The sequence below is a fragment of the Homo sapiens genome, chromosome 21 (genome assembly GCF_000001405.40).
Source record: "Homo sapiens chromosome 21, GRCh38.p14 Primary Assembly".
Lineage (NCBI taxonomy): Eukaryota > Metazoa > Chordata > Mammalia > Primates > Hominidae > Homo > Homo sapiens.
The window spans coordinates 29,317,303-29,336,643 of NC_000021.9; the positions used below are offsets into that span (position 1 = coordinate 29,317,303).

General features: G+C 39.7%; 1 protein-coding gene across 3 annotated transcripts in view; it reads left to right on the forward strand.

Annotated features, from left to right (window-relative positions):
• Nucleotides 1-19,341, forward strand: part of BACH1 (BTB domain and CNC homolog 1) — a 62,973-nt gene that overhangs the window by 18,381 nt on the left and 25,251 nt on the right. For all 3 annotated transcript variants that reach the window (NR_027655.3, NM_001186.4, NM_206866.3), the window contains exons 2-4: nt 3,919-4,212; nt 8,757-10,091; nt 12,185-12,391. Coding sequence is in view for 2 of the 3 variants with exons in the window: in NM_001186.4 (NP_001177.1) it covers nt 3,979-4,212; nt 8,757-10,091; nt 12,185-12,391 (1,776 nt within the window). In the remaining variant the exon portion in view is untranslated. The remainder of the gene's footprint in view (nt 1-3,918; nt 4,213-8,756; nt 10,092-12,184; nt 12,392-19,341) is intronic.

Genomic DNA, 19,341 nt, shown 5'->3' on the forward strand with positions numbered 1-19,341 from the left:
AATAAGAAATTACTAATTCAGCAGCATGTACCTGTGTTGGACCAGGTCCAACAGGTATGCTTGGGTTATGGCAGGGAACAAATCAGACAAAGTTGTGACATTTAAACAGAGAACTAAAAGGTGAGGCATTAGCTGGCTGAAGAGTAGAAGTCCAGATAGTGGCCACAGTGTATGTGGAGGCCCTGAAATCAGTAGGAGCTTGGGGCCTGTGGAGCAGGAAGGAAGAGACAGTGAGGCTAGAGAATAGCAAGAAAGGGGGGCAATGGCTTGAGATAAGTCTGGATTAATGGATGGAAAACCCAACTACATAGGACTTGAGGACGTGTTAAGGATTTTGAAGTGATATGCCATTTATTTGGAAGATGACGTAGGGTTTTTGTTAGGAAGAGAATACATTGGAGGGGGTCAAGAGGGGCTTTAGGGGTATAAGGCTTTTGTTAATATTATCACCACTAATAACAGCTAATATTATTTGTTGCTGTAGACCAAGCACTGTGCTGTGAACCCTTTTCCCACATCATCTCATATAAACTTCAGAACATCTCAGCGAGGTGGTGTTTTCTCTACTTTATAGATGAGGGAACCGAGACAGTGAGGTTAAGCAACTTGGCCAAGGTCATATAGCTAGTAGTGGCAGAGCTGGGATTTGAACCCAGACAGTGTAAGATTGTAAATTCTGAGACTCTAAATCCTGTGGTGTTTGCCACTGGGCCTGTATTTTTCATTGCGTAGGTGATGCGCCTATGTGGGTCTTGAAATTGAGTGGATCGCAACTGGGATTTAAAAAAAAAATTGAATGGAGTAGAAAGTATCAGACTACTTGCAAGTAATAAGCATAAATATTGATATGTGAAACTTTATTTTATGTAAGTAAACTTGTACATTTGTGAGCTTGTGAGCTGTTATAGAAGGTTAAACAGCATTTTTCCAGGCAGGAGCTGATGATGGCTTGGATTAGAGTTGTGCTGATGCCGATGGAGAGAGGTGGACCCCAGTGCTAAGAGGCAGAGGCAGCAGGACTCAGTAAGAGATTGGATAGAGGTGCCCAGCTGAGGAAGGAATGAGGAGTGAGTCCCAGATTTCTTGTATGAACAGCATCAGTCATGGTGCATGCTGTGCTCAATCCACTTGAAGGGAGACTGATCCTTCTTAGAGGGGTCCTCCTGGATGGCTGTTTTACTACCTGAATTTCTAGTTTCTCTCAGCTGCAGCTGACAGGACTTGGGGTTGGCATCTCGCCCAGGGGCAGCAAATCTGTAAGCTAGCTCTCAACCCATGAGATGATGTGTTACTGAAAACTGCCTAAACAGATGTTGAGCCAATAATTAATTCTCTGGAATTTGAGGTGAGTAGTCAGCCAGCTGGTGGCAGGATGAGAAGCGGTGGGCCACAGATGTATGTAGTTGACTACTAGCAGCTCTAGGGTGAAGGTGTAGGAATTATTTGTGTGGAGTCACCTTGAGATTCAAAGAACCTTTAGATTTCCGTTTCTAAGGCCCAGAGTCATTCTCTTTCTGAAGCTCAGGTCCAATTTTTTTTTTCTTGCTCTCTCTGCGGTCCATATCTGTATTCTCAAGCATAACCTTTTAGTCATATCCAGCTCCCCACATTGCTGCAGTGAATCTCCATACTGTGCGTTCAGCTAGTACTAACTGGAGACAGAATGATGGAGTAGTTAAAAAAAATGTCTGGTGGCAATTCTCCATCTTTGTCTTATTGGTCTTTTGATGTTGGCCAAGATACTTCTTACTGAGCCTTGGTTTCCACATCTGTAAAATTGGGATGATAGAGGAGCATCACAGGGCTGTTTTGAGGCATAAACGAGAGAAACTCTATCTAGCACTTAGCTCAGTGCCTGGTGAAGAATTACAGCTTAATAATCTTGCCATTGATAGTTAACATCTTTAGGATAGTCTCTGGAGAGACTTAAACGTGTTCATTAACAAACATTATGGGAAGGAGCCAGCATAGAGGGAGAGGTTGGATATCTATGAGACAGGGTCTTAAGAGAAGGTATTGGATCCCAGAGAAGCAGGCATGGCACGGGATTAAGAGAATACATTACAGATTGTTTTCAACAGAAGAGGGAACCTGATGGAGGTGGTAGGAGGACTGTTTTTTCTGAGGTTGGGTCCCAGTCATGGTGATTTGCTAGGAGAGATGCTGATATCAGGAGGAGAAAAGTGGCAAGGTGGAAAGCTATTATAGAGAACAGGAGACAGGGACATACCAGAAAACTGGTGAACAGTACCAAGAGCCTGCGACTGCACATTGTAAATTTATAATGACACCAGTCTGTGTATTTCTACAGTGTTTTCTGGCAGTGCTGTGTTCAAAAGAATGATGAGCTATAGAAGTAAGATTAGTATAGTTTTGAAGGGTGTGCATCCTAGATACCAGGAAAGAATAAGGAGGCTGGGAGCGTGGGTACAGGGACATAGTAGGGCAGGTGGTCAGCCATGGAGTCCGGCTTGGTTGGGAGGGCAGTGTGCTCTGGGCAGGGTATAGTCTTGAAGAAAGAAGAGGGCAGTGGTCTGTGTGTGGTGCCACCCACAAAAGATATATAACTTCTTTGATTGATGGTTTTCCCTGTTATTCTTAACACTAATTTCTTGTGTTGATAACTGAAGTATTAAGACTAATTGCTAAAAATAAATTTATATTCTCGTATGGGCCAAAACTGGAGTTAGTTCTAGTGTTTAATTTTGAAGTTACCAGTGATTTCGTGTGGTATGCTGAATCAGTAAATAAGTTGTGATCCTTAACCTTGGGACTGAACTTCAGTAGTCCTTATTTCTCCTTTCATTTTTGTTTGGAGTGTGTAGCAAATCTGAAAGCAGTACCATTTACTCATTCACTGACCATTTGAAGGCTTCCCATGTGTCAGGAGAACAGAAGTGAATGACGCAGGGATGATACCGTGAGGCATCACACGGATAAAGGCCAATAAGCTCCTCACAGTATCATCCTTTCCGGCCGTAGGGTGCTGGAAGACAATATTAGAACTTCTCTTTTAACCTGTTACTTTGAACTTCTGTGTTTCTCAGAACATATATATCAGAATAGTAGCACATGTCTGAAAAATATAGATAAGCATACACGTATTGGGGGTATTCTTGTTTTTGGCAGTAGTGTGTATGTGATCAAAAAATATTTGGAGGCTATTATATGTTAGTATGTATTTTAAAAAAATATAAAATTATAACTTTTTCTTAGCATTTTGAGAAAACCTAGTTTCTGCATGTAATTAATGAGGTAGTTTTACTTGCCTGTATTTGTAGTGTGAAGTAAATCTTACTGTATAAAAAGACTTACTACCAAGATCTGGCTTGACACATTTCAGTCATTTTCTTCTTGGTGCTGGAGGAACTTTACCTTTTGTAGAACAGTGTCCCTTGTTATAAAACACTAAATTCACTTGCCATCTATCAGATGTTGAGGAATGGGGTGTGGAGAATGTGGAACAGCACATGCCTGTTTTACTATCAGTCTCATCCCAAGGTGTGACCTCTGGGGACCTTCCTTCTTACCTCTCTGGCTGTCTCTCCTGCCTTCTCTCTCTCTCTCAACTGTCTCAAAACAATAGGATTGGGATGCCACCAGAAATTCCCTGCTCCCATCTGTTTGCTCAGAGTAGGTGGTTACTCAGTGTGTAATGTCTCACTTTCAGAGAGCCATGAAATCCTTGGTTCAAAAAGTTCCCTCACACCAAGAATCTTTTCCGTAAAATTAGTTAGAAAAACTGCTATCAAGAACCTATTTTAAATGAAGTATATTGAATAAATGCCTCTAGGTTGTTCCTCTGGAGGTTTTTTATTTTCATTTTTGTTTTAATGAGTATGTATCTTAGCCTGTATTTGACACTGTCATTTTTTAACAAGATGTTATTTAAGTGAAATCTTGCATGTGTGTTTGCAGGTTGATGATAATTAGAAGCATGCTTTCCACTGAACTTCCCGACAACATTTGTTATGCAGAATGTCTCTGAGTGAGAACTCGGTTTTTGCCTATGAATCTTCTGTGCATAGCACCAATGTTTTACTCAGCCTTAATGACCAGCGGAAGAAAGATGTGCTGTGCGATGTCACCATCTTTGTGGAGGGACAGCGGTTCCGCGCTCACCGGTCCGTGCTGGCGGCATGCAGCAGTTACTTCCACTCAAGAATCGTAGGCCAGGCTGATGGAGAGCTGAACATTACTCTTCCAGAAGAGGTGAGAGATCCATGTTTTTGGCAATTTTAATCTACTTTTACTTAAGTTTTTTATGGTTCATAATGTTGAAAATAAAGCACAGTCTCCTTGTCAGGTGGCTATGGAGCATTTCCCAGGTTCTGTGCAACCCCTTTTTTTTTTTTTTTTAGTTTTTTTAATGTAAAATCATTAATTTTGAATGTTGGTTAACATTACTGAGCAGTTGGATATAACATAACACCCACTGTTATGTTATTTTTGATGAAATGACCAAATCAGGACACGCCCAGTGGATTGTAGGCAATTGGAAAAGTCATGGTTTTGAGAGTCTGTGCTGTGTGACATTCTCTTCTAGGGGCCCTTTCCAGTGATCAGCAATTGTAGCTATGTGTGTTAGTCTGTTCTCGTGGCGCTAATAAAGACATACCTGAAACTGGGTAATTTTTAAAGGAAAGAAGTTTAATCGGCTCACAGTTGCACATGGCTGGGGAGACCTCACAATCATGGTGGAAGACGAAGGAAAAGCAAAGGGACTTACGTGGTGGTGGGCAAGAGAGAACTTGTGCAGTGAAGCTCCCCCTTATAAAACCATCACATCTCGTGAGACTTATTCACTATCACCAGAATAGCACTGGAAAGACCCGCCCCTGTGATTCAGTGACCTCCCATTGGGTCCCTCCCATGACGTGGCAATTGTGGGAGCTACAATTCAAGATAAGATTTGGGTGGGGACACAGCCAAACCATATCACTAGGTTTAGGGTTCTGTAAAACGTCCGTTTTCCCAAGACATCTCCTATGAAAAGGAGGCACTCCATGAGTGTTCTGTCTCCCCTTCTTTCTTGACTTAGTCTTTATGTATTGATTAGAAAAAATAAACAGTGTTGCGTCATTTTTATATAGCCTTATTTTTACATACATCTTTTTCTCTGGTCTGTTGTGGAGCTCAGGCTAACAAATATTTGGGTCCTTGTTAATGTCCTGCCTTTCAGAGGAATTCTCTTTTGGGTGGGGATGTGCTGGCTGTGCTGACTCCTAGCAGCATCCCTTGCTTTAGTTAGTAACTGCTACTAGCAGAGTATCAAGGCTGTGGCATTGGGACACAAATAGAAGTTAGGAGGAATATGGAGAAAGAATGTAGAAATCATTTGAGTATGACAGGTCTATGTGGGATATTCCCAGTTGGATACGGTTGGATAAACTGTAAACTAAGTCTACAGTTTAGCTTGTTGCTGTCCATGCCTACTTCTGTGAAACTGCAGCTACGGTTTTGGGAACAGGTTGTCTGTTAGTTTTGTAGCAGAGGTCAGAGTCAATGGTGCAATATCAAGAAAATGGTAAAAAAGGCCAACCTATGAACTAGCCATTGTTTTAAAAAAAGAACAACACATTTTATAATGGAGATGTATTAACTATGGTTCATATTTTCAAATTATTGAATGAGACTTTACAAGTAAAGCAAAGTTTGATTCGTGGATTTAGGAGGAAAGGTATGTGCATACATGCATGTGTGTATGCATTCATTCATTCTTTCTAATGTGTAAATCATAAGTTTTCAAATATTTGAAGTGTTTCATTATAGTGACAATGTCAAAATACCTTATAACTCACTATCCTAAAGACCTTTTTAGATTATTTTAACATATTTAAAAATTTTAATTGAAATTTTTATCGAGTGTATTAGGGTTCTCCAGAGGGACAGAACTAATAGGATATATGTATGTATGAAGGGGCGTTTGTTAAGGAGAATTGGCTCACATGTTCACAAGGTGAAGGCCCATTATAGGCCACCTGCAAGCTGAGGAGGAAGGAAGCTAGTAGTGGCCCAGTCCGAGTCCAAAGGCCTCAAAAGTAGGGAAGCCAACACTGTAGAGCCTTCAGTCTGTGGCCAAAGGCCCAAGAGCCCTCGGCAAACCGCTGGTGTAAGTCTGAGAGTCCAAAGGCCAAAGAACCTGGCGTCTGATGTCAAGGGCAGGAGGCATCCAGCAGGGGAGAAAGATGAAAGCTGGAAGACTCAGCAAGTCACCTATCCCACCTTTTTCCTCCTGTTTTGTTCCAGCCTCGCTGGCAGCTGAGTGGATGGTGCCCACCCATATTGAGGGTGGGTCTTCCTCTCCCAGTCCACTGACTCAAATGTTAGTCTTCTCTAGCAACGCCCTCACTGACACACCCAGAAACAAGACTTTACAGCCTTCAATCCAATCAAGTTGACATTTAATATTAACTGTCACACTGATGTTTTCATGTACAGATGTAAGAAACAATGCAGAGTTCCTTTTCACTTTGTCCAGTGTCCGCCATTGATAACATTTTGCAAAATTGTAGTATAGTATTACAACCAGGATATTGATACAATCTCCCATAGCGTTCAGATTGCCACAATTTTGCTTGTACTAGCATGTGTGTGTGCGGGTTAAGTTCTATATAATTTTATCCCCTGCGAAGGTTTGTGTATCCACCACCATAGTTAAGATAACAGCCGGGCCCAGTGGCTCATGCCTGTAATCCCAGCACTTTGGGAGGGCGAGGCAGGCAGATCACCTGAGGTCAGGAGTTCGAGACCAGCCTGGCCAACATGGTGAAACCACATCTCTACTAAAAATACAAAAATTAGCCAGGCGTGGTGGCGGGCACCTGTAATCCCAGCTACTCGGGAGACTGAGGCAGGAGAATCACTTGCAGTGAGCCAAGATCGTGCCGCTGCACTCTAGCCTGGGTGACAGAGAGAGACTCTGCCTCAAAAAAAAAAAAAAAAAAAAAGGAACTGAACTTGCCAACACAAAGATCCCTTGTGTTGTCCTTTTATAACCACAGACATCTCCTGCCTACACTCCATGCCCTCATCCCCTTGCCCCCTTCCTCCGTGCCTAATCCATGGCAACCACTAATCTTTCTTCCTTTTCTAAAGTTTTGTCATTCTAAAAATGTTATATAAATGGAATTATGCAGTATATTACCTCTTAGGATTGATGTTGTTTGACTTAGCTGAGATTATCCAGCTTGTGTGTATCAGCAATTTATTCCTTTTTATTGCTGAGTAATATTCTGTAGTATGGATGTACCTTGTGTGTGTGTGTGTGTGTGTGTGTGTGTGTGTGTGTGTGTGTGTAGCTTTTTACCTATTGAAGGAAATCAGGCTAATTCTGGTTTTTGGCTATCACAAATAAAATTGCTGTAAACATTTGTGTACTGGTTTTTGTGTGAACATAAATTTGCATTTCTCTGGGATAAAAGACCAGGAGTGCAGTTGCTGGGTTATATGGTAGTTGCATGTTTAGTTTTATAAGAAAGTTTTTTTCAAAGTGTCTGTACCATTTTACATTCCCACTAGCAATATGTGAGTGATTTAGTTTATCGGCATTCTCATTAGCATTTGATGGTATCACTGCTTTTTATTGGAGCCTTTAAAAAGCCTAAACATGGTTTAGCATGTTTATGTTTTTAAGAAGATCACAGCCGGGCGCGGTGGCTCACGCCTGTAATCCCAGCACTTTGGGAGGCCTAGGCGAGTGGATCACGAGGTCAGGAAATAGAGACCATCCTGGCTAACGTGGTGAAACCCCCGTCTCTACTAAAAATACAGAAAAATTAGCCGGGCATGGTGGCAGGCACCTGTAGTCCCAGCTGCTCGGGAGGCTGAGGCAGGAGAATGGCGTGAACCCGAGAGGCGGAGCTTGCAGTGAGCCGAGATCGCGCCACTGCACTCCAGCCTGGGCGACAGAGCGAGACTCCGTCTTAGAAAAAAAAAAATCACAAATATTAATATTATCTTGACCACTCTTATAAGAACTCAGTGGTTTCAAATTAATTTTGTGCTTTTAATCCAGGATGATGCCTTCTGTGTACTGGAGTTGGTTCCATTTGCCTCTCACTTTAAGAGGCAGGTTTAATGTAAATGTGCAAGTTTCTACTTAAAAGTTTTGTTACTTCGAGTCCATGAATTTTTGCTGAAACAGTACCGAGGCATGATTTTTATAACTTCTCTTAGATCACTTTTAAAAATCTGAATCTTTAAAACTTTTACTGTTAGGAATTTTTGACAGTAAAGTTAATAGTTACCAGTTAGTATGCATTTACCATGGATCAAGACTTTGTAACTGCTTTACAAATACTGTTTTATATCCTTTAAAATTCTGCTTTTGTAGCTTGTAGCAGTTGGAGTTGTTTGGAATACAGTGGCCATGTGGAGCTGGGCTAGCAGTAGACTCACTATGTGTGGCAGGTAGTGTTCATCCTGCTCTAATTCATAGATGATTTTTTTTTTCACTATCATGGGAAAATTGTGGTAATGTCTTACATCTTTAACTTATGTGAGTAAACCATAATTCATGTGCAATTAAGAGAGGACTCTATAAAATAGTGTGTGGTCCCTGTGAAAAGCATGCTTTTCCAGGATCTTTTTCTTTTACATTTCTTAGAAGAATATGTTTTCTTCAAATTAAAGTACATATTTTATAATTATCACAAATAAGTTACATATCTCTCTATTCCTCTTCTACTTATTTTGTTTTTATGTACTAGACAGCTTTCAAATGATGTGTTTGTTTTTATTTTGTGTATCAACAGGTGACAGTTAAAGGATTTGAACCTTTAATTCAGTTTGCCTACACTGCTAAACTGATTTTAAGTAAAGAGAATGTGGATGAAGTGTGCAAATGTGTGGAGTTTTTAAGTGTACATAATATTGAGGAATCCTGCTTTCAGTTTCTGAAATTTAAGTTTTTGGACTCCACTGCAGACCAGCAAGAATGCCCAAGAAAAAAATGCTTTTCATCACACTGTCAGAAAACAGACCTTAAACTTTCACTTTTGGACCAGAGGGATCTAGAAACTGATGAAGTGGAGGAATTTCTGGAAAATAAAAATGTTCAGACTCCTCAGTGTAAACTCCGCAGGTATCAAGGAAATGCAAAAGCCTCACCTCCTCTACAAGACAGTGCCAGTCAGACATATGAGTCCATGTGCTTAGAGAAGGATGCTGCTCTGGCCTTGCCTTCTTTATGCCCCAAATACAGAAAATTCCAAAAAGCATTTGGAACTGACAGAGTCCGTACTGGGGAATCTAGTGTCAAAGACATTCATGCTTCTGTTCAGCCAAATGAAAGGTCTGAAAATGAATGCCTGGGAGGAGTCCCGGAGTGTAGAGATTTGCAGGTGATGTTAAAATGTGACGAAAGTAAATTAGCAATGGAACCTGAAGAAACGAAGAAAGATCCTGCTTCTCAGTGCCCAACTGAAAAATCAGAAGTGACTCCTTTCCCCCACAATTCTTCCATAGACCCTCATGGACTTTATTCTTTGTCTCTTTTACACACATATGACCAATATGGTGACTTGAATTTTGCTGGTATGCAAAACACAACAGTGTTAACAGAAAAGCCTTTGTCAGGTACAGACGTCCAAGAAAAAACATTTGGTGAAAGTCAGGATTTACCTTTGAAATCCGACTTGGGCACCAGGGAAGATAGTAGTGTTGCATCTAGTGATAGGAGTAGTGTGGAGCGAGAAGTGGCAGAACACCTAGCAAAAGGCTTCTGGAGTGACATTTGCAGCACGGACACTCCTTGCCAAATGCAGTTATCACCTGCTGTGGCCAAAGATGGCTCAGAACAGATCTCACAGAAACGGTCTGAGTGTCCGTGGTTAGGTATCAGGATTAGTGAGAGCCCAGAACCAGGTCAAAGGACTTTCACAACATTAAGTTCTGTCAACTGCCCTTTTATAAGTACTCTGAGTACTGAAGGCTGTTCAAGCAATTTGGAAATTGGAAACGATGATTATGTTTCAGAACCCCAGCAAGAACCTTGCCCATATGCTTGTGTCATTAGCTTGGGAGACGACTCTGAGACGGACACCGAAGGAGACAGTGAATCCTGTTCAGCCAGAGAACAAGAATGTGAGGTGAGCAGGAATATGTTCTTAATTCATTGTTTTAATAACCATTAATTGGGATTTACTGTGGATCAGCTCCCTTTGCATCATTAGGGATATAATCAGGTTCAGGGAGTGGGGAGGAAACTCATACAAAATTAATTGTAAGACTGTGTGATAGGGCTGGGCGCAGTGGCCCACAACTGTTAATTCCAGCACTTTGAGAAGCCGAGGTGTGGGTGGATCACCTGAAGTCAGAAGTTTGAGATCAGCCTGGCCAACATGGCGAATCTCCGTCTCTACAAAAATTAGCTGGGTGTGGTGGTGGGTGCCTGTAATCCCAGCTACTCGAGAGGCTGAGGCAGGAGAAGCGCTTGAATGTGGGAGGCGGAGGTTGCAGTGAGCCAGGTTTGCACCACTGCACTCCAGCCTAGGAGACAGAGCAAGACTGTCTCAAAAAATTTTTTAAAAACACTGTGTGATAAATACCAAAAGAGAGAGATGAAGTTTGAAGGACTTCTGTTCATTCGTTTCCAGTAGATATATTAACCATAAAGTAGGTTCACACATTGGCTGTGTTCACACATCGGCCATTTAATTGTTTAAATCAAATGCCATGCTGCAAGACAAAAAAGAATAATGATTCTATGCTCATTATTTGATAACTCCTGGAAAAATGCAGCATATATTCAGTCTTGCTCATTGCCAACAAGAACCTCTAGACCTGGGACATGTCCCTGAGCAGTGGTTTAACAGTGATTAGTTGTAGGAATGTGACTTCTAGTGGAGTAAAGTTTATTGGATCTAGTTTTTCATGGCCATTGATTTTTAAATTTTCCTTTGGCCATTTCAACTATTGATGAATGTCTTAATTTAGCATGAGTTACATGTAGCTGGTATGATATTAATCAAAGCAAGCTTGATTTGTATATTCTGTTTGTATTTGATAGATCCTTTCTGTAAAATATTACTTATAAGTCCAATAATGACAAGGGCCTGTTAGTTCCTTCCAAAAATATATTAATTAAAATATTTTTTCTTTTTTTTGTTTTTATATTTTATGATTTTTTTTGCCTTTCAATAGTTGGCTTTTCTCTTTATAATCACAATTTACATTCTTTTTAAAAATTATTTTTCTATTTTATCCATTGCATTTTTTCCCCTTTCTTGGGCTTTATTTGTTTTTTGTAAGAATACTTAACATGGGATCTACCCTTATAACAAAATTTTAAGTGTACGATACAGTATTGTTAAGTATAAGCACAATATTGTACAGCAGATCTCTATAACTTATTCTTTTATGACTGAAACTTAACCCATCCAATTGCAATTCCCCATTTTTTCCCTCTCCCTAGCCCCTGGCAACCACCATTCTACTCTCTGTTTCTGTGAGTTTGACTGTTCTGTCTACTTCGTATAAGTGAAATCATGTTGGATTTACTCTCCTCTGTGTCTGGCTTATTTCACTTAGCATGATGCCTCCCAAGTTCTCCATATTGTAGGCAAATGGCAGGATTTCCTTCTTTTTATCAGGCTGAATGGTATTCCTTTGTGTATATACACCACGTTTTCTTTATCCGTTCATCCATCCATGGACATTTAGGTTGTTTCCATATCATGGCTATTGTGAATAATGCGGTAACGAATATGGCGGGGAGTACAGACTGGGCACAGTGGCTCATGCCTGTAATCCCAACACCTTGGGAGGCTGAGGTGGGTAGATTGCCTGAGCCCAGGAGTTTGAGATCAGCTTGGGCAACATGGTAAAACCCCATCTCTACAAAAAATACAAAAATTAGCCAGGCATGGTGGCATGTGCCAGTAGTCCCAGCTACTTAGGAAGCTGAGGTGAGAGGATCGCTTGAGCCTAGGAGGTTGAGGCTGCAGTAAGCCATGATTGTGCCACCGTACTCCTGCATGACAGAGACCCTGTCTCCAAAAAAATATGTGTAGATCAGTGCAGATATCCTTTTGAGATTGTATAGAAATTGGGATAGAGGCCTATGTTTTCTTTAATGTAAAATAAGTTCTCTGAAAAACTTAGATGTATACCTTCATCTTCCTAGGTTTGACTATAATTATAAAATACAGCAATAATTAGTAATATTTATTTCATATTCTAGGTAAAACTGCCATTCAATGCACAACGGATAATTTCACTGTCTCGAAATGATTTTCAGTCCTTGTTGAAAATGCACAAGCTTACTCCAGAACAGCTGGATTGTATCCATGATATTCGAAGAAGAAGTAAAAACAGAATTGCTGCACAGCGCTGTCGCAAGAGAAAACTTGACTGTATACAGAATCTTGAATCAGAAATTGAGAAGCTGGTAAGTGTAAAAGTTTCTTGTTACTATTTAAATTCCACCACTTTCTTTTTTGTCAAGGAAATAGTTTTTAAATTTCTAGGTCAGATATAATGCTCAATTACTTATTTTAATATGTATCAATTACCATTTTATCATTTTTACCATGATATGCTGTGATATGTAAGTGCTTTTTAAAAAGAAGGTTTTCAAATTAAGAATGACTTTACTGTCTACCTAATCATTAGTGGTTGTGAATAGATTCAAGAAATTATAAAGCACTTTAGGTTCTCTGTTTTGTGTCTATAGAAGTTAATATTCCAGGTGTTCATTTAAATGAACTGTGGACCTGAATAACTTGTTTTGGTTGATACCAAAACCAGACCAACCAGGATCTTTCATCTAAGGAAAAAAATTCTGATAGATATGGTGATATGAATTGAAAATATTAATATCTAATGGGATCCTAAGTGAGAACAATGCTTGCTTTTGAATCTTTTCTTTTTCTTTTTTGAGATGGAGTCTTGCTTTGTCGCCCAGGCTGGAGTGCAGTGGTGCGATCTCGGCTCACTGCAAGCTCTGCCTGCTGGGTTCATGCCATTCTCCTGCCTCAGCCTCCGGAGTAGCTGGGACTACAGGCGCCTGCCACTGCGCCTGGCTAATTTTTTTTTTAATTTATTTTTTGTATTTTTAGTAGAGATGGGGTTTCACTGTGTGAGCCAGGATGGTCTCGATCTCCTGACCTCGTGATCTGCCTGTCTCGGCCTCCCAAAGGGATTTCAGGCATGAGCCACCGTGCCTGGCCTGAATCTTATTTTCTATTCCAGCATCAAGACACAAATTAACTGAAAATTGATTAGTTTACTCCTCTTTCTTTTTTCCGTTGGTGGAAGGAAGCATTGTATGAAAGAGGACAACTCTGATAGTACAGGCCAGCTAAAGCTAAGATATGGTAAAAGATAGCAAGGAAACAGCCTAGAAGTAGTAAAAACATTGCTTGAATATTCAATTTTGTGTCTATTAATTGTTGAAAGTTTAAAAGTTGGGATTGTGGCAAGTTTTCAAGCGTGAACATTCTAGCTATGAATGGCAATTAAACAGCAACAATTTAGGGAAAAAAATTGTGCCTCCAGGAGAAGTTGAAAAATAAAAAATTATTATTTATATATTGTACATATACTTTGTGTAAAAAGATAAAAAATCATAACTATATTAAAGAGATGAAGCATAACTAAATAAAAAATAGAGGAACTAGATGTTTTACAAATAGAGGCATGAGAGATGTTAAAAAAAAAAACAAAAAACCCAAACACCGACATGATATTGCTGAATAGTTAAAATTGTTAAAACCAAGGAGGAAAAGTTTTCAATTCTATAGTACTTAGTACTTTTAGAGTGTGTATCAGTAATACCTTTAATAAACACTGGTGTTCTTTCTTATTCAGTTTTGAATTAAACCCTTACCTGCCTTTAGAAGGAGTATAGCATTTTGAGCTTCAGTTTTTATTCTGTGCTGCAATACAGAGATGCTTTTTACACTGTTAGGTTATGCGAAGCTAGTGGAATGAAATCTACATAAAATTGTACTACTGAAGTTCTTAGTTATGCTTCTTAGTTCTTTTTCTTGCTCTTTCTCGTCTGCCAGCTATAATTTATAGTAGTTCATAGAGTTTATCCAGTTTTCTTACTCCTCTAAAAATAAAAATAAAAGCGAAACAAGACTATTCTAGTTTATTTCGTAACTTTATTTTATAAATGGATACTAAGCAAATATGTTTGAGAGTAGCTATTATCCTTTAGAACTACTCTATTTCTTGGCTCAAGGGTTTTATTTTTTTGATACAAATCAGACATTGGTTTGCTAGATTATTGATATTGCTACTAAATTTCAGATATCTAGGATGAAGAAGCCTTGCTATCTTTGGGCTTTCTTCTCCCTCTGCCTTTCCTTCTTAGAGAGGTGGCAGATACAGTGGTTAAAATTGTGGGCTCTCAATCAGATGCTTAGTAACTTTGGGCAGGTTAATTTCTCTGTGACTTGGGGTTTTCATCGGAAAAATAGGATAATACTAGTTCCTACTTTATAGATTAGGTGCTTATTTGGGGGAATTAATTGAGTTAATCCATCTGAAGAACTTAGAACAATGCCTGGCACGTAGTAACTACTCAATAAATACTATGTATTTTTTATTATTTTCCATTTTCTACTTTTTAAAAAATTTTATTTGGTTTATTTATTTATTTATTTTTAGACGGAGTCTTGCTCTGTCACCCAGGCTGGAATGCAGTGGCATGATCTCGGCTCACTGCAACTTCCGCTTCCCGGGTTCAAGCGATTCTCCTGTCTCTGTCTCCCGGGTTCAAGCAATTCTCCTGCCTCAGCCTCCTGAGTAGCTGGGATTACAGGCACGTGCCACCACACCCAACTAATTTTTTGTATTTTTAGTGGAGAACAGGGGCTTCACCGTGTTAGCCAGGATGGTCTCGATCTCCTGACCTCGTGATCCGCCCGCCTCAGCCTTCCAAAGTGCTGGGATTACAGGTGTGAGCCATTGCATCCGGTCTCCATTTTCCCTTTCTTAATTGACCTTCTTCCTAATGTCTCTGCCTAAACTGTAAACTCTGTGTTTGGTATATTGCTTCTGTCATCATAGTAAGGTTCCTTTCATATGGTCAGTGAATAACTACTGGTTAATTTTCAATACAAAGTAATATTTTGTTTCTCAACAGTTTTTATGAAATCCAAAATCTGAATGGTCAGTATCCTGTTTAACTATTACATTAATTTGGACTCTTTGGCTTCAAGAAACAGACTTTTGATTGAAGAATGAATGAATGAATGAATGAATTTGTTGTAGGGAGATAGGTACCTCTCATTTAGAAGCTAGACAATGGAGCCAGGCCTCATAAATAACAGGGAACAGAAGTGGAAGACTCCTGGGAACCCAGGGACTTCTCTGTGCACCCGCTTCGCTCTCTATCCGAGAGTGGCTTTGTGTGTCACTAAGTGCACATGGGAAGGGTGGCTGTGGCACAATGCCTGAATAATTTCACTCTCTCCAGGGACTAATCCAGTCAGAGACTACTGTTTTAGTCAGTTCTGAATTCCCAAGGAGAGCATCTTACTGGCTGAATTCACTCAGGTATCCTCTTCTGTGACTAGCGAGCAAGAACAAAATAGAAGAGTCAAGACCCTCCTTTCTGGGCAGGCACAGCAGACATCTGATAGTGTCTCCTGCACCTAGATAGGCGCCAGTCTGACTTCTAAAATAACCCCAGAGAAGTTGTGTTGGAATTTTTGTATCAGAGTGACTCATTTGTGTTTCATCTTCCTTGAAGTCTCTACTCAGTCCTTCACACTGCTCTCAGTTCTAGTGATTTGTACTGGCAAACTCCAGTTGCAGCGTGAGGGGTACATTACAAATTTCTGTACTGCGTAGATGTCTTTCTCAGATAAACATAAACAGAAAATATGCTGCTTATTAGCTAATACGAATAAGAAAGCTGGCCCGTCTAGAAGGAAAAGAATTTGACGTTTAAGATAGTTATTATGGTAAGAAGTTTACTTGGACCCTGGTTGTTGGGTGATGTTATGGATCTTGTCTTTTGTAAACAGAAAACTAGGAGGGTTACAGCCAGAGGTTTATACTTAGTAGCATGGAGAGTTGAGAAAGAGGAAGGAATGTGAACAGATATTTGTGTATATTTTAATCTCATTGAGATGTTACTTTTTGAAAGTAACATGGCCAATAAACAAGCAGTATTCTTAGTCTTTATAGTCTAAAGATTATAACAAACCTATTTAAGGGAAATTGCTTGTTTAATAATTAAACAGCCATTTGCACATAGTGAATGACTGGTTGGCTTTAACATATTAATAGATTCACAGTATTTATTGCTCAGGTCTAAAAATATTCATGCAGAGGGCCCTATATTCTAGTTAGTTTGGTCTTAGGCTATTGGCTGTTTGTTTTCCTAGAAAGAAATCTTGGAACTTTTTGCAGTTCGTCCTGAGGGCAATGGCATAATAGATTCTGGATGGATCAGCATGTGATAAAAAGGGGTTTGATTACAATAGAATAATTATTCTAAAATGTTTGCAAAGTGGGTTAGTATTATAATTATGTATAAAGGAATAAAGGACACTTTTATTAAAGTCTCAGTGTGTTGGGACAAAGGGAGATGTGAGTTAGCATTTAGTAAATAAGGTATTTCTCAACAAGAAGTTCTGTCAGAGTCTAATAGAACCTTTGAAGAAAAGGTGTTTATTTATTTGGTGGAAAAATGGATGGTATTGACTTTAGCATTTATTTTGAATTTTATAGTATGTTAGAGGTTAAGCATTAATTTAGCATTGCTTTTATTACAAGAACTGAATGCGCATAATGCATAAGCCAGTAACATGACTTTGGTTTTTTTTGTTATTTTTTTTATTTTTTTTATTTTTTTTTTTGAGGCAGAGTCTCGCTCTTTTCGCCCAGGCTGGAGGTCGGTCTTGGCTCACTGTAAGCTCCGCCTCCTAGGTTCACACCATTCACCTGCCTCGGCCTCCCGAGTAGCTGGGACTACAGGCGCTGGCCACCATGCCTGGGTAATTTTTTTATATTTTTAGTAGAGACGGGGTTTCACTGTGTTAGCCAGGATGGTCTTGATCTCCTGACCTCTTGATCCGCCCGCCTCGGCCTCCCAAAGTGCTGGGATTATAGGCGTGAGCCACTGCGCTCGGCCGACTTTTAAAACTAACAATTATAAAGTCTTTGGATTCAGCTTCTGTTCAGTGTTTAACTTATGAAGCTCTTGTCTATGTAGCTTTCTTTACAAGGTCCAAGTTTATTCTTTTCTGGAAGATTAATTCAGAAGTTAGAAAATATACATATCTCTGATAACCATTTTAACCTCAGAGGTACCCTGAAATGAAGGGAGCCTCGCTTTTTGCAGAAAAATATTTACCAAAATGTATTTCTTTTAGAAAGTATCAAATATTGTTTTCGATATCAACTTGTAAGTGATCAGCAATCAGAATATTCACAAACACTTGCGCTCAGGGTTGAGGTGTTCAGACACCATTTTATTTCATTACTTTTGTCCATTATGATGGCACAGAAGTAAAACGACCTCATCCGTCCTTAGTGATTTGCATTTTGTGGTGAAGATTATATTTTATTAAAAATAAACCTGTCCTATTCACAACTAGTCACAATTTACTGGCTGCTCAACCAAAGCGCACCCCAGTGGCCCTTCCGGAACCTGCCCTCTGTCATTCCGTGTTGTCGTTGAGCAGCATTTCTTGAAATGTGGTGTGTGTCCCATTGGCATCATAGTTATCTTGGGGTGCCCCTTAAGGTGGACATTTCTTAGTCTATACCAGAGCTGTTGTTAAGGCCCTGGACCTTGCATTTGATACAAGTCCAAGATAAATGTCATGTACGTTTTAAATTCTGAGAACTCACTGCATGATAGCACTGAGGTCAGACGGAGGCTTTGGAGACAAATGACTGGAAAGCCTGCCTGGCCACTGGGTAGCTTTGTGGTCTGGGGCAATTGCTTAACCTCCAGTACCCACATTCCCCCGTTACTAATGTGGGATAAGAGTAACAGCCACAGCGGGGTTGATGCAAGGATCTGATGAGATCAGGGATGAAAAGCTGTTTGTACTGCCCAGCACGTGTTCAGGGCTCAATATGTATTAGTTGTACTTTAAATAAAAGTGGTTCTCTATTCTTCCTATAAGTATTTGCTGGTGACCCTACATGTTAAATGTTGTGCTTGGTACCAGGATGTCAGAAATGAGTAAGACAGAATCCTCACTTACTTACAGTCTCATAGGGAGTCAAGTTCAAGTGTGTTCATTTTTTCTTGAGCTTCATGTCAGCACCCCCCACCCCATTCTAAAAATTTCAAGCTTTCAGAAAAGTTAAATGAATGGGTACCATAAGCAACCATATACTCTGCATGTAGATTCTTTGATTTTTGACATTTTGCCACATTTGCTTTATTTCTCTATCTTGATCTTTCCGCCTTTGTCTCTCCACCTCAGATCATCTGTCTATACCTGTTGGTTTGTCAGTCTTTGCACCTCTATCTCCGTCTATCCATCTTGGTCCTTTTTTAACCCCACTTGGTTGATCTTGGTCTCTCACCCCTTGGTGTCACTGTTGTTCCTGTCCTGCTGTCTTGCTGGCTGTCATTCCTCACTCTGGCTCTCTTCCTCTCCTTTTATTTTCTGAATTGTTTGAAAGCTACCATATTATGACACTTCATCCTTAAATGTTTAAACATGCATCTTCTAAAAAGAGGCATTCTTAGATATGACTAATACCTTTATTATGCCTGAGAATTTCAACACATCCTAAATATTATATCTAGTTTTTATTCAAATTACTCTGATTTTCCCATCTTTCATAGATGCTTTTTTTTCAAACGAGGATACAGTCATCGTATAATGCATTTGATTAAACCTGTTTAGTCTCTTAATCTAGAACAAGTACTCTCATTGTTTTAATGACAATAACTTTTTGAAGTATCCAGGCTGGATTTCTCATAAATGTCTTACTTTAAGTTATTTGTCTGATTGCTTCCCCATGGCTTTAAGTCATTTCTCCATCCCTTTACTTCCCGTAAACTGGAAATGTTTGAGTTGAGGAGACTGAGTTTAAACATTCACTGGTGTTGTCCTTTATATTGTGTCGCCTAGGGAGGCAGGAGGTCCAGTGTCAGTATTGTCGTACCTGGGTAGCTGGGAAGTGCCAGATTGCTCCATTTTCAAAGTAATATTTTTTCAACCTGTGTTGCTTAGTTATCTATGATGTGTTACTTGGGCACTTTATAATTATCCCGTTCCCCAATACTCCTGCATCCTTTAGAATATGTTGATGACCTTCACTGTGATTACCATGATTACAAAATCATGATTTTTCTAAATCTTTCATTCTATTTACATTATTTTAGTTGGTATTCCTGATTAAAAAGGATTG